This window comes from Homo sapiens, chromosome 6 (genome assembly GCF_000001405.40).
Source record: "Homo sapiens chromosome 6, GRCh38.p14 Primary Assembly".
NCBI classification, from domain to species: Eukaryota; Metazoa; Chordata; class Mammalia; order Primates; family Hominidae; genus Homo; species Homo sapiens.
In genome coordinates this window covers 69777369-69794186 of record NC_000006.12, presented here as the reverse complement: position 1 = coordinate 69794186, position 16818 = coordinate 69777369, and the positions used below count along the sequence as shown (strand labels likewise).

The 16818-nt window shown below is 36.7% G+C and overlaps 1 protein-coding gene across 4 annotated transcripts in view; it reads left to right on the top strand.

The window, feature by feature from the left end:
• The window catches only part of LMBRD1 (LMBR1 domain containing 1), a 123001-nt gene that overhangs the window by 2824 nt on the left and 103359 nt on the right, over positions 1-16818 (top strand). For all 4 annotated transcript variants that reach the window (NM_018368.4, NM_001367272.1, NM_001367271.1 and 1 more), the window contains exons 2-3: positions 3715-3891; positions 13633-13693. In NM_018368.4, coding sequence (NP_060838.3) covers positions 3715-3891; positions 13633-13693 — 238 coding nt within the window. The remainder of the gene's footprint in view (positions 1-3714; positions 3892-13632; positions 13694-16818) is intronic.

Here is a 16818-nt window from a genome sequence, read left to right as displayed (position 1 = left end):
GAGTGCAAATGTCAGCACAGTGAAAAAGGCAAATAGCATCTTAGTATTTATTATGAGAATAGTTTTCAACTTCTGAATCTCCAGAAAGGATTCTGGGGACTACCAGGGCCTAGGGATTTCACACTTGGAGAACTTCTGCCAATCATCTACTAAATATTCAGGACATGGGCCAGGTGTGGTGGCTCACACCTGTAATCCCAGCACTTTGGGAGGCTGAGGCAGGTGGATCAGTTGAGCTCAGGAGTTGAGACCAGCCTGGGCAGCATGGCAAAGCCCCATTCCTACTAAAAATACAAAAAATTAGCCGGGCGAGGTGGCAAATGCCTGAGGTTCCAGCTACTCAGAAGGCTGAGGTGGGAGGATTGCTTGAGCCCAGGAGGTGGTTTGTGGAGGCAGTTGCAGCAAGCTCTGATAGTGCCTGGGCAACAGAGGGAAACTTCGTCTCAAAAAAAAAAAAAAAAAAAAAAAGATTCAGGACATGAATGTTGCCTACTTTTGTGATCGTGGGCAAAAAGAATGGACTTCAGTTTCTTCACACATAAGGAATTGTTAGATTTGGTATCTCATGCCTGTAATCTAACTATGTCTGTCTTTACTATATCAAATCTAAACTGTTCTATCTAGCTTCAATGTCCTCTGTAATTTGGCTCACACCACCTTTAAATTGTATTTGCCATTACAATAGGAGACTCTCCATTTTTGTAAAGCAAATTTATTCTTGTTCCTTAAAGTGTGGGCATCATCTGGGAACTTGTTAGAAATACCAAATATGTGACCCCAGTCCTACTGAATCAGATCTGCAGTTTAACAAGATCCCATACAGTATGTCATCTATTCTCATTAGTTTAATGAAGATTCATCTCTTCTCATTCCTTCTTCTGCCCCAGTGGTTTGCAAACTTGACCTTTCATCAGAACCACCTGGGGAGTTTTAAAAATCTCAGTGTTCAGACCAATTTATTTTGAATCTTTTGGGAGAAGCTGGGGGGACTATTTGAAACTTTTCTTTATAATTGTTAACAGAGTTATATATTTGTTTCTTTTATCAAATTATCTAATAACTACTACTGTTTGTTAAGCAGTTACTATGGCCAGCCACTATGGTAAACCCTTTATATCTCATTTAATCCTTATAACTTGTTATGAAAGAAGTATTCCTATAGACGAGGATACTTGGTTTTATTTTATATTGTAGTAATGATTGATAACATGAACAAAAAGCTCTTTAAGGTTATCAGTTTTAAAACCATTATAAAGGGATTCTGAGACCAAAAAGTTTGGGAATCTCTGGCTTAACTCTTCTGCCTGGTTGCCGTTTCCTAGCTTGTCTGCCTGATATTGGCAAAATCCTTTGTTTGCAGTAATACCTACAAAATGCAGGTTTTCTTTCATTCTTGAAATCCAATAAAAAATTTATTGGAACACTTTGTGTCAAGTACTGCTGAGGATATAAAGATGAGACTCAGCTTTCAAAGACTTCAGAATGAATTTGGGGAATGTTAAAAATATTTATGAATTCCTTTAAAAACAAGCTCATTCAAATATTAATACAAAGTCACATTTTATGAAAAATAAATTTCCCAAAATCAAGAATTTGAGCCTAGATCCTTTTTGTTTGTTTGTTCCAAAGTCTTAACTCCCTTCTCAGTCAATTCTTTCCTGCTATTCTGTCACCAGTTGAAAGGCCAGCAGTATGAAGCAATGACATGCAGCAACTTGGATGGGTTTTAAATGCACTGTGCCAAATGACACTAGCCAGACTGAAAAGACAACATACTATATGAAGGCATTATGATATTCTAGAAAAGGCAGAAACTATAGGGGCAGAAAACAGATAGTGGTTGTCAGGGTGATACTGGTGGGCTGAGGGAGATCCCCAAACACTGGTGGGATCTCAACCCCAGCTGGTTTTCAGGCTCTTGACACTGTCATGAGAAGACATTAAAGGGCAAGTCAGAAAATAGTGTAAGTGTGGAGATTTATTAAAGGGAAAAGTACACACTCGTGTGGGCATTCTTAAGAGAGAGACACACGGTGAGGTTTGGAGTTTCTACCTTTATGGGTTTCTTTATCCAAGGGACATATTCATGAAAATTCCTGGAAAAAAGTAGAGACTTCTTGAAATTGTGGTGCCACCCATTTTTACATCAAATATGAGTGGTCTTGGAACTGCCATGGTGCTGGTAGGTGTGTGATTGAGCATGTTAATGAGCATATAATGAGGTCCTAGGTGAAACCTAGGTCAAATCCATTGCCATGTTGGGTCCAGTGGGTCTTAACCAGCTTGGTCCACACCCTGGTTTTTCAGGGTCTTATTAGCCCTTAGCCTCTAGTCATGGAAAACTGCTCTCTGGAATTTTTTAGCCCTTGTGAACATCATGCATTATTCCTGTCTCAAGGGCTGGGGGCAGAGAGAGGAGTTAACTACAAAGGGACAAAGGAATTTTCTGAGATGATGGAATTGTTCTTGTATCTTGCTTGCGGTAGAAGGATTTGGAAGCTGCAAAACTAGTTTGGTGGTTTTATTAGTTTCATTTGGGCCCTGGAATTGTAGGATGCTCAGAAAGAAAGTAACCGCTGTTGAAAAAGTGAAAGGTCAAAACAAGGCTTTTAAAACTACCAGAGCTCTTATTTAGAACAATGGTTCTCAAGTTTGGCTCAGATTGAAATCCTCAGGCATTTAAAGTACTGATGCCTGGAGGAGCCTTATTCTCCGTTGATAGAATTGATTGGGGAATGTAGGGAAGTTATAAGGGTACTTAAAAGTTACCCAGGTGATTCTGACTCACAGTGAAGGCTGAAATAACACAGTCTCTGTCTGCAACTCCCTATGAGTAGAGTAGAAGTTCTCAAAATACAGCCCTGGACCAGCAGTAGCCTCACCTGGGGAAGCTGTTACAAATGCAGATTTTCTGGCTCCACTCCAGACTTCTTGAATCTGAAACTCAGAGGATGGGGCCTAGCAATCTGTGCTTTAACAGTTCCTCCAAGTGATTCCGATGCCTCCTAACGTTAGAGAATCATTAAAGTCCTATGCTCTGTGTTAGTCACTAGAATGGCATTGGTAACTATTAAGAGTACTTGGCTGACTAGAGATGTCAACCTCTACCTCTGAGTGAACTTTTTTCACTGGAAAGCTCCTTGCTGTGCACATGTATCCATTTTCAGCATTGACTTTTCTTTGTTTAATGCTCTTTAAAATTTAAATTATAGTATAATGTGATAATTGCATGGTGATTACTGGCAGTTAATCTTTAGCTCAATGCTATTCTTGAACTGTCAGAACAGGACAGAAGTTAATTTTCATCCAAGTTATATTTTGTAATGCTTCAGTAATAAGCCTAGAATAGAACAGCTTCTACTCATATCTCTTTTAGGTTGGAAAAATCTACAGGGAAAAAAATATTCAAAGCTAGTTATAACTGTGATGTGTGAAACCATTAACGTTTGCACTGTGTTTAATGAGGAAATATGTAGCTGAGCACTGTTATTAATAGTATTGTGTGTGTATGCATACGTGATGTACTGCATTCATGAAGTAGGCTTTGAAAATTATACATCTTGGACAAGTTTTTAAGGGATAGTGGGCTTTCCTTACACAACTAAAATAACCTTTACTTCACATAAGGTTTCCTGCTAGAAACTTTCAAACACATACAAAAATCAGAGAAAATACACTGGGTAGTAACAAACATCTCTTTTTGTTCTATTTCAGGCTATTTTGGCATTCTGCTGGATATATGTTCGTAAATACCAAAGTCGGCGGGAAAGTGAAGTTGTCTCCACCATAACAGCAATTTTTTCTCTAGCAATTGCACTTATCACATCAGCACTTCTACCAGTGGATATATTTTTGGTTTCTTACATGAAAAATCAAAATGGTACATTTAAGGTAAATATAATCTTACTTTGCAGATTTTTTTTCCTTTCAAATTTCTGGCACACTTGGCAGTCCGATACATATTGTGTTTTATTTTTGTATCTGGGAATGAATGAGAATGGAAATACAACATAGAAGCTGAGAATGTGACATCTAACCTGATAGACCAGAAGCAGACTTACAACTGACATAAGAACTATTAATTCAGCCGCCCTGCAAATGCTTTAAGTAATCATAATAGGTTATATATTTTTTGCTGCTCATAACTCCCTTGAAGCTTATTTGATTTGCATTAATGCAATAAGTAAATAATTGAGAAGGGCTTTTGTTAGTGGCAGATCAGGATCCTAATCTCCGTTTCATATTGAGTACTTTGAGTCAGTATGGTGTAGTGAATTAGGCTGGGAATTATAAGATCTGAGTTCTAGTCTTGACCCTTAACTGTCTAGCTGTGGACCTTTAGCCAAACCACTTAACTTTTCTGGACTTGAGGTTCCTCATTTTAAAAATGAAGGGTGTGGACTAAAGGTTTCTGAGTTTCCTTTAAATTATGCAAATTACTTTTAAGTTTCTTACTAGCTTAAGCTTCTGTGACTCAGGAACTGTCTCTGTTGTTGTAGCCCCAGTATTTAGCTTTAGTACTTAAATATTTGAATGAAATAGTTTTTCATTTATCTTAATAATACATGATTACAAAATAACTTCCTGAATTGGGCTAAATTAGGTAAATAATTTTATTTTATTTTTTATTTTATTTTATATATATATTTTTTATTTTGTTGAGATAGAGGCTCACTCTGTTGCCCAGGCTGGAGTACAGTGGCATGATCTTGGTTCACTGTAACCTCCGCCTCCTGGGTTCAAGCGATTCTCGTCCCTCAGCCTCCCAAGTAGCTAGGAATACAGACATGCAGCCACCATGCCTGGCTAGTTCTTTTTGTATTTTTAGTAGAGATGGGGTTTTGCCATGTTGGCCAGGCTGGTCTTAAACTTCTGGCCTCGAGTGATCCACGTGCCCAGCCTCCCAAAGTGCTGGGATTGCAGGCATGAGCCACGATCCCTGGTCCAAATGGGGTAAATAATTTGAAAATATTTTTGTAGTTAGGTTTAAATTTATTCTGATTACTATGAAAATTAGATATACTCTGATTGCTGTGAAAACCACATTTTTTTTCTGTACACCATTTAGCAAGTTTTAATTGAGCACTTAGTGTGTGCCAAACATTGTAATGTTATAAAGATAGTAAATAACATCTATTAAATATTTGCTATGTGTCAGACTCTATTTTAAGTGATTTACATTTAGTAACTTCCTTTGGTCTCTTAAACAATCCTGTGAGATAAGTAGTAGTATCTGTGTTTTTGTGGCTGAAAAATCAAGGTTCAAAGAGGTGAAATAACATAGCCTGTAAGTGCTGAAGCTGGGATTTGAAGCTCTGCAGTTTGGTTCCAGAGAGCTTTGTTCATGAGGTTTCTTGGGAAGATGGCTTCTAAACAAGTAAGAGATATTTTCAGGTAGCCTAGTAAATAGGATACCTACTAGTGATTCTACATTTTTTCAAAATATAAACTTAATTCACATTTTATATTTTGGGTTGAAACATTATTTCTAGAGAAAATGACTAATTTTACTGGTGTCATTGGGTTTTCTCTGCTTTTTATTATTGGGCAAGAATAAATACACTTTTAATACTGTTAGACATAGATAATTAAATGGTTGATTGTAACATTATGAGGTCATTTTCTCTGATAAATAAGTGTCATTTTAGAATTAAATTCTATAAAAATGTTTAATTTCTTTTGGCTCTGTATATCGCTTTGTTTCTTGGATAAGAGATTTTGACATTTTCAGAATTTCTGGATATTCTTTTTATTTTAAAACAGTGTAGTATACTTCCAAATGTACAGTACATAATTATAAATTTCTAGGATATTTTTCTTTCTGAAAGCTGTTAAGTTTAAATAGATAATGATATATATGTATATGTGTGTATTCTGATGTATAGAGGTCATATAATTATCCCTGGTATAATTATTGTTTGAATCGGAGATTTTTTTAGTTTAGAATTGAGCATGTTTGATTTATTTAGATTTTGTGGGAAAACATTTCATCTTTATACATATGTAACAAACCTGCACATTGTGCACATGTACCCTAGAACTTAAAATATAATAAAAAAATTTCTAAAGTATTTTCATGAAATTATGAACTTTCTATTAGATTAAGTATTGTTTTGAGCACATGCTTAAATTAGTGCTCGCTTCCTAGGAAATAGGTTTGTTTTGTTTCTTTGTTTTCGATATTTAAATCTATGAGATTGCATTATACTTGTTTGAACAAGATTTTAAGAATCCACTAAAGAAGCAAAAATATTAACTATAAAAATTGAGGGTGCTTGTTTTAATACATGTGCCCTTAAAAGAAAAAAAATATGGCTGTAGTTAACACACTATATTTGTTAAATCTAAATGTTACACTAATATTTAGAAGGGGAAAATATCTGTTAAAACTTTTCCCTCTACTTTTTTAAAACTTTGTTTCATTATTAGGATATTAGTTATTCATCAGTTGTTGGTTCTTGTTTTTTTCTACTTTTCTTTTTTTGAGACGGAGTTTCACTGCAACCTCCGCCTCCTGGGTTCAAGCGATTCTTCTGCCAGAGCTTCCTGAGTATCTGGGATTACAGATGCACACCGCCATGCCCAGCCAATTTTTTGTATTTTTAGTAGAGATGGGGTTTCACCATGTTGGCCAGGCTGGTCTTGAACTCCTGATCTCAGGTGATCCACCCGTCTTGGCCTCCCAAAGTGCTGGGATTACAGCCATGAGCCCCTGTGACTGGCCTTTCCTACTTTTCATTATTAAGTTGTCTCTAGTTCTGTTTGCTTTTAACTTAGATAATGTATCAGATTTTTCTTGGTAGTTTTTTTGATACCTTGAAACATTCTGTGTGTCTGTATTTTCCCTTCTCATTTTGGGCGGCTCGGTGAGGATTAGTGAAATTCATGAGTTTTTATTTGAAACTGGACTATTTGCTGACTCTCAAAAGTAGTACTGAAAAAATTTTTGAAAACATTTTCCTGATAAACTCTAGACAGTAGTTTTTCCTAAAGTTATTACTGAATTCAGGTGCCTAGTGAAAGATAAGTTTAAGTATTTAAGAATTAATTCTTCAAACTTCATGCCACGATTGTAAATGTAGTCAGAGTAAAAAGGATGCCAACGTGGTTTTGGTCTATTCCAACCTTGTTTGTAAAGATGAATGTACAAGTTGACATTGTTTTCCATGATGAATGCTAATGTATAATAATATTTACAGTGTGCATTTGAAATTCCTAAATGAATATATACATTCTCTAACTTTCTCTACTTCCACCTCAAATATTTTGAAGCCTCTCTCTAATTATGGACTTGTCTTCTAAGGTATAATTATTTGGAAACTCTACATATTAATGATTGCTAACATTTTTCTTAAAAACAGAAGGTGCCCAGGCTTTTCTGTGAGCAGGCAGTCATTGCTAGTTTCTTTATTTTTGTTTTAGTTACCCTTCTAGCTTTCTCTGCCTTCTTATGGCAGGGGTATATTATAATGCCTGAGTTGTTTCTGTTGACCTTTCTTTCAGCATATGGCATTATTAATAATTTTAGCTAGATAATTTGTTTCTAGCTTCTTTTCTAAAGTAATTAACTTTTTAGATAACAGAAGAGAACCTTTTAGAGTACAGCTGGAAGTGCTGTCTTTAACAGTCTTTGATAGTTGGCCAGTAACATTGGATGGGGATATACATGAAATATACTGATCCAATAGTAAAAAAAAAAAGAAATCGACACTAATATGAATAAATATTCTTTCTTTTACACAACATGTAAAAATAAAAAAATTAGTTAATATTAAGGTATGTCATGAAAACATTTAATGTTTTGGTGTTTGTTCATATCTTACTCCTGTTCCCTAATTATGAATATCTTTATGGACTGTTATTAGATGTCTGGGCTAAACTCTACTGCTCCCTCATTCCTATTTTCAAATGGTGGGAACTGTATCTTAGAACTTTGTGCTCTTTATTGAACCTTAAATATGTTTATTTACTTAATATTTACTAAATATATAGTATGTGCCTGACAATTGTAGGTACTGGAGATTAATCATTAAGGCAAATGAGGTTGCTTTTCTCATGGAGCTTAGTCTGCAAGGCCAGATCAATAATCAACAAATAAGATAAGGTAACTTTATAGTGATAAATTCTATGAGGAAATAGATTGATATGAGAGTCTAGTCAGGTTATGAGTGTTTTGGAGAGGGGGATAGGAAGGCAAAACTGCTGAGGTTTCTTGCCATGATACCTGGATGAGGAGCCAATCTAGTAAAGAGCCAGAGGGAGAGAGCCTTTAGGGAGAAGCAGCAGCAAATATAGAGGCCTTTAGGCCAGGATGAACTTGGCTTATTTGGCTGACATGTATTGTTGAGGGTTTTGCTTTGGTAAAAGCTGAGATCCAGAATAAGGCAGGAGCCAGACTGTTCATGACTTTTAAGTCATATTAATAAGTTTAGATTTTCTCCTAACTGCAATATGAAGTTAATGAAGGTAAAAGATAAAGGTGACTTGGGCTAGAGTGGTGCTAGTAGAGAAAAATGATTAAAATTGGCATGTATTTTAGAGGTAGAGCTGCTGGGATCTGCTGATAGATTAGATATAGGGGGACAGGTGAAAGAAAAAGAAAATTGGAGCACTGATGCCTAGGTTTTTGTATACCTTAGAGAAATAGGGAAACTTAGAGGAATAAGAGGGCATGTGCATGGGCAAGTGAGGGGGTGTAGAGAAAAGAGTTATAGTTCGGACAGGCTACCTTTAAAGTGTGTACTGTACTATCTATCCAGGTGGAGGTGTTAAGTAGGGAGTTGAAGCTCTGTGAAGAGCTTAGGGCTGGAGAGAAGTATTTGGGAAGCAACATATGGATGATATCTACAGTTATGGACTGACTAGCAGCTGGGAAGACTGAGTAGTCAGAGAAGCCTTGACACTGGACCGAGGACTGGAGTTCTCTATCGTGTAGAAGGTCAGCTGAAGGGGAGAATCTGCAACCTGAGAGATAAGAAAAACAGAAGAGGGAGGCTTTATGGAAATCAGAATAATGTGTTTCAGGAAGAAAGAATGATAGCTTTTTTCAGTGGTGTTGAGAGGTGAAGTGAATGGGGTAGAGAAGTGACTGGTGGCTTTGGTCAGTGGTGACCATGAAGAATAATTTCAGCAGAACAGTAGGGTGGTTAGGTTGAGTGGGTTAGATATGGACAGAGAAGTAAGGAAGAAGTGATAAGGAATGCTGACAACTTTTCAGGAAGTTTTTGTTCTCTACGAAAGTGAGAAGTGGGTTAATGGAGGTGTTTTTATTTGTGGTGTTTGTGTATCTCTTTGTGTTTAATAGTTACTAGAATTTGTATACTTTAGAATTCAGTACAGTGAGAGAAATTTTTGAGGGGAGAGAAGGTATTGCAGGTGCAGTTTCCTCCAGAAGGGTGAGTGAAAGTGAAAGGGTTGGGTGTAATAGGAGTGTGGGTATTTCAGAGGAAAGAAGGTCTAGAATTTGGATACAAATGGAGATATGTTTTAGATTTAATAGTAAGTTGAGTGAGCTCCTGTCTTGGGGCTGCAAATTATTTTAGAGACCTCTAAGTCAGTATTTCTCAATCATGGACATTTTGCCTTGGATAATTCTTTGTTATGGGGGCCTGCCCTGTGAATTGTAGGTGTTTAGTGGCGTCCTTGACCTCTTACCTCCTAGATTCCTGTAGTATACTGACTCTGTCCACCATGTCTCCGGACATTGTCAAATGCCCCATGGGGATCAAAATGGCTCCTGAATGAGAACCACCATTTTTATGGTGAAGTTATCAGGTAAAAGTGAGGAGAATCATTTTGGAGTTTTGGGTTATGCAGCAGGTTTCAAAAGTCAACTTGAAAAATGGGGAATGGAATTTACATATGCGACCAATTACATTCTTGTTCTGTGGAATTCATATCCTTGTCTTCTGAAATATTCTTCTTTAATATTCTTTATTTAGTTCTTGATTGTCTCACATTCTTTTGTGTCCTAAATGACTCTGAAGTTTCTTTTAGTTTCTACTTCGAGAGGCAATAGTTTATAAAACATATCAAGGTCATAGTGGTTCCCAAAATTAGAAGGAAAGTTTTACAAACTAAGCTCTCTTGACAATACATCAAGTATCTTGGAGGCAAGAGAGTATGTAAAAGCCAAATACACTAACAGTACTTGAGTGATGTTGTATATCTTACACATATTTGTAGCTTTAAAATAGTAACAGCAATACTCCTGTTGCCACAAGAACTGGTTAGGCAAAAGATCCTTATAGAGTAAAAGATGCTAAATTTCAATGATTCTTTTGCTTCAAGTTAACCTTCAGACTTTTTATTTTTAATATTTTTTTTTGAGATTGGGATTTTGTCTGATTTTAAACTAATTTTTAAGTGATTCTCAGTGGAGACATTACTACCTCCTGGGGCTGTCTTGGAAATTGGTGGGAAGTTTGTATAACATATAAGAAGTAAAAAAAAGATAGTTGTTATTATTCTCTGGCCCATTGATACATTGTTCTTAATTTGCTCATCTTCAAAATCCTTTTAGTCCAGGTATGGTGGCTCACACCTGTAAACCTAGAGGCTGAGGCAGGCAGATCACTTGAGTCCAGGAGTTCAAGACCAGCCTGGGCAACGTGGTGAAACCCAGTCTCTACAAAAAATACAAAAATTAGCTGGGCATGGTGGCATGCACCTGTGGTCCCAGCTACTTGGAAGCCTGAAGGTGGGAGGATCACCTGAGCCTGGGAAGGTCTAGGTTGCAGTGAGCCATGATCATGCCACTGCACTGCAGCCTGGGTGACAGAGTGAGACACTGTCTCAAAAACAGAACAAAACCCACAAAAATACTTTTAAATTTCTGTTTTGATACAGAAGTAATCACTAAAGAAGCACAGCTCTTAGGAGTTGAAGCTTTGATTATGTACATATTCATTTGGATACTTGAATCATTGATGAAAAAATTTTCAGTCATTGCACAGAATTCTCCCCAGTGCTTTCCCATTCTGTGTGGTAAGCGCTACTTACATTTTCTTTTCATTTTTTCTATAATATGTTTGGGTATTTCTTTCATTACATTTTTTAGACAAAGATTACATGTGTTAAAACTTTTGGTTGTGATTTGTTCTGTTTCCTCCTACTCAAAAGTACTTCATAGATATTTATCTATGCTAGTTTATATAGGTCTCATTGTTTTTAATGTCAACATGTTATTCTATGTTATGCATGTACAGTAGTAAATTTTACTATTTCTATTCTGGCATTTAGATTGTCTCCAGTTTCATTTTTCTTTTAAAAAATATTTTAAACGACCCTACACCGAATATTGTTGGGTAAAGGACTCTTGGCCCAAAACCAATAAATGTTAATTAGTACAGGGTCTAATTTACCCTGACAAGGGTCAGCAAGTGCTCAGGTTCTTTTGTAACTACATTAGGCAAAGAGAGAAACTCTCCCACAGTGCAGGTGCTTTAGTAGAGGCATATAACCTCCTAGTCTTTTCTCTCTCTCTCTCTTTTTTTTTTTGTTTCTTGAGACAGAGTCTTGCTCTGTTGCTCAGGCTAGAGTGTAGTGGCATGATCTTGGCTCGCTGCAACCTCTGCCTCCCAAGTTAAAGCAATTCTCATTCCTCATCCTTCCAAGAAGCTGGGATTATAGGTGTGTACTACAATGCCTGGCCTCAAACTCCTGACCTCAAGCAATCCACCTGCCTCAGCCTTCTAGAGTGCTGGGATTACAGATGTAAGCCACCGCACCTGGCCTCTTAAGAATGGTCTTGCAGGTAGAATAAACACCTTGGACTTGGGTGCCAAAGAATATGAGCTGAGTAGGTACAAGTAGTTCACTGAATGCTAGGACAATTGCTGAACACCTGGAGACTTTGGGTCTCTTAGTCCAATGAGTGATGGAATTTGGTACAGCTCCTGCTGTGTGGGAAAGGAAGGGCCCATTTGGGCTAGCTTATCGCTTTGTAAGAGCTCCTGAGGTAATTTGTTGGACAAGTAGTATTGTCCAATGAATAAACTATCTATGTACTAATATCCATCCTAATTTGTGTGAATATTTTTAGGATCGATTCAATAAAGAATGTCTACATGGTAGACTATCTTACTGTGTAGCAGATGGCTTTCCCTCCACATTTTGGCATTACTGGATGTTATTGTTTTAAATTTTGCCAATAGGTAGGTGAAAGGTTATATAATAGTGGATTTTCACGTTTTATTAGTAAAGGATAGTAATTGGGAAATTCCTTCTTGTTGGTCTTTTTCAAATTTATTTCTGGCCCTAGCTTGTTTTGTCAGATGATTTTTAGAATCAATATGTTAATATACTCTACCTCCTAGCACAATGGGATTTTGATTGGTGATATATATTAATTTTAAGATTAATTTGGATGGCAGTTGGTATTTACAATCTTTAAATGTGGGAACAGATGACTTTCCATTTATTAAATTTGTTATATCCTGTGATTTATTTTTTATATGGTTAACATAAATGTTTCTATTTGGCCTATTAAGGGTTTGTTACTATTCCTTATTACTATTGGGAACATATTGTTTTTATTGTGCTTTGGATATCAAGGTTTTGCCTTTGTAGAAGTAAGTTTGGATTTTCTACTTTTTTTATATTTTAGGCATTTATCAGCAAATTTATAGCTACTCATTGCTAGAGGTGTTTATGGGCAAAAAAAAGAGAAAAGAAAAATCCTTAATTATCTTAAGAGAATTAAATATTGATGCCCTTTTTTAAGAGCACTCATAGAATGTTGACACTGACTTGAGCTCTTTAAGTGTTTATAAAACACTGACCTGGATTCTAAATTTTGCTTTATACTTAATAGCAGTGATAAGTCCTTTAGATTCTCCACGTTTAATTTTTCACATGCACAGAATTTAGAGTATAGGCCAAAAAGGCTTGACATTGTACCTTAGTTCTGACAGAATAGGGTATAGATTTTTTTTCTATTGGAAAAGATTAATTTGAATTATATTTTCTAAGCTTAGTAATTCGAACAACCCTTGTGTGGGATGAATGCAAAGGAGATTAGACTGATTTTTCCTGTAGGTTTTTAAAAAAATGTATAATATGCTCAAATATGTTCTTTCTGAAGTACTAATCAGGTTTGTTGCTCTCTGCATAAAATTCATCACTATTTTCCATTGCCCTTAGGACAAAGTCCAAAGTACTCAGCATGACTCACAAGCCCCTGACATATGTGTCCTTCTCTTCCCTCTCTCCACCTGGTTTCTCTTACCTTTCCAAAAGCTCAATTTAATCTATATTTAGCTTCTTGAAGCTTTTTTCAAACGTTCTGTGTATGTTCTTTACTCCCTCTTTCCTTCCTACTATTTTCTGTTTCCCTGAGATCATTCTCCCTCCTTTCAGGTCTCAGTTTAGTCATTTTTGAGAAGCCATTCCTCATCTTCAGTCTGAGTTAGGTGCCTTTTGTCTGTGTTTTCCCAGAACTGTGTTGTCTTATCTCAGCATTTACATACTGAAATTTGTCTATTGTCTGTCTCTCACTTATTGAAGACATAGATTGTTTTTATGTGGGTGGATAGATTTTGGAAGTGATATTCAGTCGTATTAAAACTTGACTTTTAATTGTTAGGCAAATGGGTGTTTCATTAATATTTCTATTGTTTCCTTTTATCCTAGGACTGGGCTAATGCTAATGTCAGCAGACAGATTGAGGACACTGTATTATACGGTTACTATAGTAAGTATCTTTCAGTTTCTTTCCCTATTTGGACTGCTAACCAAAATACTGATACGACTCCGATGAGTGGAGAACCCCAGGTTCTTCCTCTTGGGTCGAATTAGAAAAAAATGACATGGACACACATGGAGTAGTTTTAAGGAGCAGGGAGTTTAGTAGGCAAGAAAGAAGGGGGAAGAAAGAAATAAGCTCCCCTGTACAGAGACAGAGGGAGGGGAGCTCCAAAACCAAGAGAGGGAACCCCACCTGCCACGGATACCAGTCAGGTATATGAAGAGGCTGAAGGTGCCAGTGTTTGATTTGCATAGGGCTCAGGATTGGTTTGACCAGGCATGTCATCCACATAGCCTGTTAAAAAAAAAAAAAAAAAAAAAAAGGACCCTCCCACCTAGCCTTTTAATATGCCAATACAGGGTGCCATGATCTTCTACACAGGTGGGGATATGTGGGGACGGCCATGTCGCCAGGAACATGTGGGGCAAGGGCAAGAAGAAGAGTGCTGGTATTGCCAGGTTTGGGTGGACCCAGTTTCTAATGGCTTGCATTTGCATATCAAAGGTTGCCTAAACTTTTCTGGAGATGCTTTAAAAGATGAAAACTTCCTAAGGACCGTTTTCCTCTCTATCTGCCTACAATAATTTCTTAATAACTCCTACAATATAAAGCTACATATAAACTTTTAATTTTGAAACCACATATGAGATTTCTGTTTTCTACAACAGGAATAAATAATATGTATTCATTTTCAAAATCCTGAAACTTCTTGAACCTACTTTGCTTCATTTAGATTCACTTTGTAACACTTCTTTGTAGCAGTTCAGTCAAGTTACTTTAAATCTCACCTCTCCTTTTATCATTACCAATTTCCCACTCCTGTTTTTTTGATTTTAAATTTCAATTTTCTAAAAATTTTTTCTAAGTATTGCCATTAGTAGACTGCAGTCTCTGGGGAATTTGTACTATCAACTTTACTCTCCACAGAGTCATTTTAATCCCAGACTTATGGTTGCTTGGCTCCTCCTCCTTCCCTCCCTCAAACATCATTCTCAGTATTAGATTATAAAAGCTTTATAATAATACAAAAGCTAAATGTTTCCAGAATTTTCTCTTTGAATAAACATGAAACTTGTGTTTTATAAAAAAAAGTGTAATTGTTGAGTTAGGAGAAGGATGTCATTTTTTTCAGCAATAAAGATTCTGAGTAAGATTTCAGTAGGACATTAAATGGGAAACTGAAAAAAATCTACAAAAGTTTCTATGGATGGGATATGTTTTCGAGTTCCATTGAATTGTTTTTTTTTTTTTTTTGAGACTGAGTCTCGCCCTGTTGCCCAGGCTGGAGTGCAGTGGCACAGTCTCGGCTCACTGCAGCCTCCGCCTCATGGGTTCAAGCGATTCTCCTGCCTCAGCCTCCCGAGTAGCTGGGATTACAGGCACACACCATCACGCCCAGCTAATTTTTGTATTTTTAGCAGAGACAGGGTTTCACCATGTTGGCCAGGCTGGTCTTTAACTCCTGACCTAGTGATCCGCCCATCCTGGCCTTCCGAAGTGCTGGGATTACAGGCGTGAGGCACCGTGCCCTGCCCCATTGAATTTTAATTCAGCTGCTTTGCTCCTTTGCCTTTATCCTAATCTAAAATCTGTAGGCCCCATGAAATTTTATTTCTTTCGGGTAGATTTTAGTATTTATGAAATTTCAAAATATAATTTATTATTTCTGATGAATATATTAAATATAATAAAATACAATTTTGACCTATTAAAAGTTTTGAAATGGAGCTATATTAAGTAGAATGTTGCCTTTTTAGTATAAATAGAATATAAATACTTCTACACAAAGTTTTAGGGGGGGAGGTCTGTCACCTGTATGACACTAAAGTGTAGTGATTCTGTAGAACATATGTTGAGATAAGCCAGTTTATACGTTAGTGAAGTCAAGGTCTGTGAACTGTATCTTATCGTTGAACCTAGAGGCCATTGGACTAATCCTTTGTAATTAAGTTCGCAAAAGACTTGTAAACTGGAATGTTAATTCATGCAGGCTTTTTCAGTTTGTTCCATGGAGAGAATTAAGCCCACAGAAAAGAATTTTGTAAGTATTTTTCTTAGTCCTCCCAAAGATGGTGTGTCCTCAATCCACTCAAGGATAATGTGCCCTTAGTATCATTTTAAATGCCTGTGTGATAAGTTAATCATTACAAACAGTAGATGTCTTGGGACTTAAGGCTTGATTTCCTATAGAACTTAATTTATAGTGAGAAATATAATTGCTTTGAATAGGATAGTTGAGACAGTGATCTAGGAAAAAAATTTGTTTAAAAAGCCAGATTATGAATTGAAAAATTTGTTTTATGACCATGGAATCAAAACAAGAAAATTTAATTGGATAATATGAATGGTTAGTGGTATAATATTAGTCATCTCCATCTCAGCTATGGCTAATAGGCCTTTGGCTCTGACCCAGAGGTGACCTACAGCTAGGACCCTGAAAGGATTCCGTAGCTTCGAAGGTAGTTACTATCCTGAAGCTCAGCTGTTTCTTTTCAAATGCTAGATACTATCTAACTGCCCTAATAGGAAACATCTAATTTGTCTTCTCCTGGATTTTGAGGACTATACAGAGTTCAAACAGAAAACACAGTTTTTATCCATCTCTTCTGTCAGAGGCTAAGTTTGTCTAATCCTTCCTATCCCTCTTAATATATCAACATATTTTCATGATCTAACCTTGCTAGGCACTGTGTAAGACTTTTACATTCAAAATCTTATCTAGTTTTCATGAATGCCCTCTCTCCCCCTTTTTTTTTTTGTATTTTCTACCTTTCACAGATGAAGATATTGATGTGGAGAGATGTTGAAGATCAGTTTGTCAGTAAATGGCATAGCCCAAAGTAGTTCTTATTTCCTCAGCTGTAGCTTCTTACTGTTAAGTGAGCTGCCTTTTGATAAATAGTACTGGGGATGTTACTTATAAGAAGGATTAGCAGCACTGAACTCCCAAGAGCAGCTTCAGAAATCATCTGGGGCCTCTTTTTTTTTTTTTTTTGCAACAGAGTCTTGCTCTGTTGCGCAGGCTGAAGTGCAGTCTCGGCTCACTGCAACCTCCACCTCCTGGGTTCAAG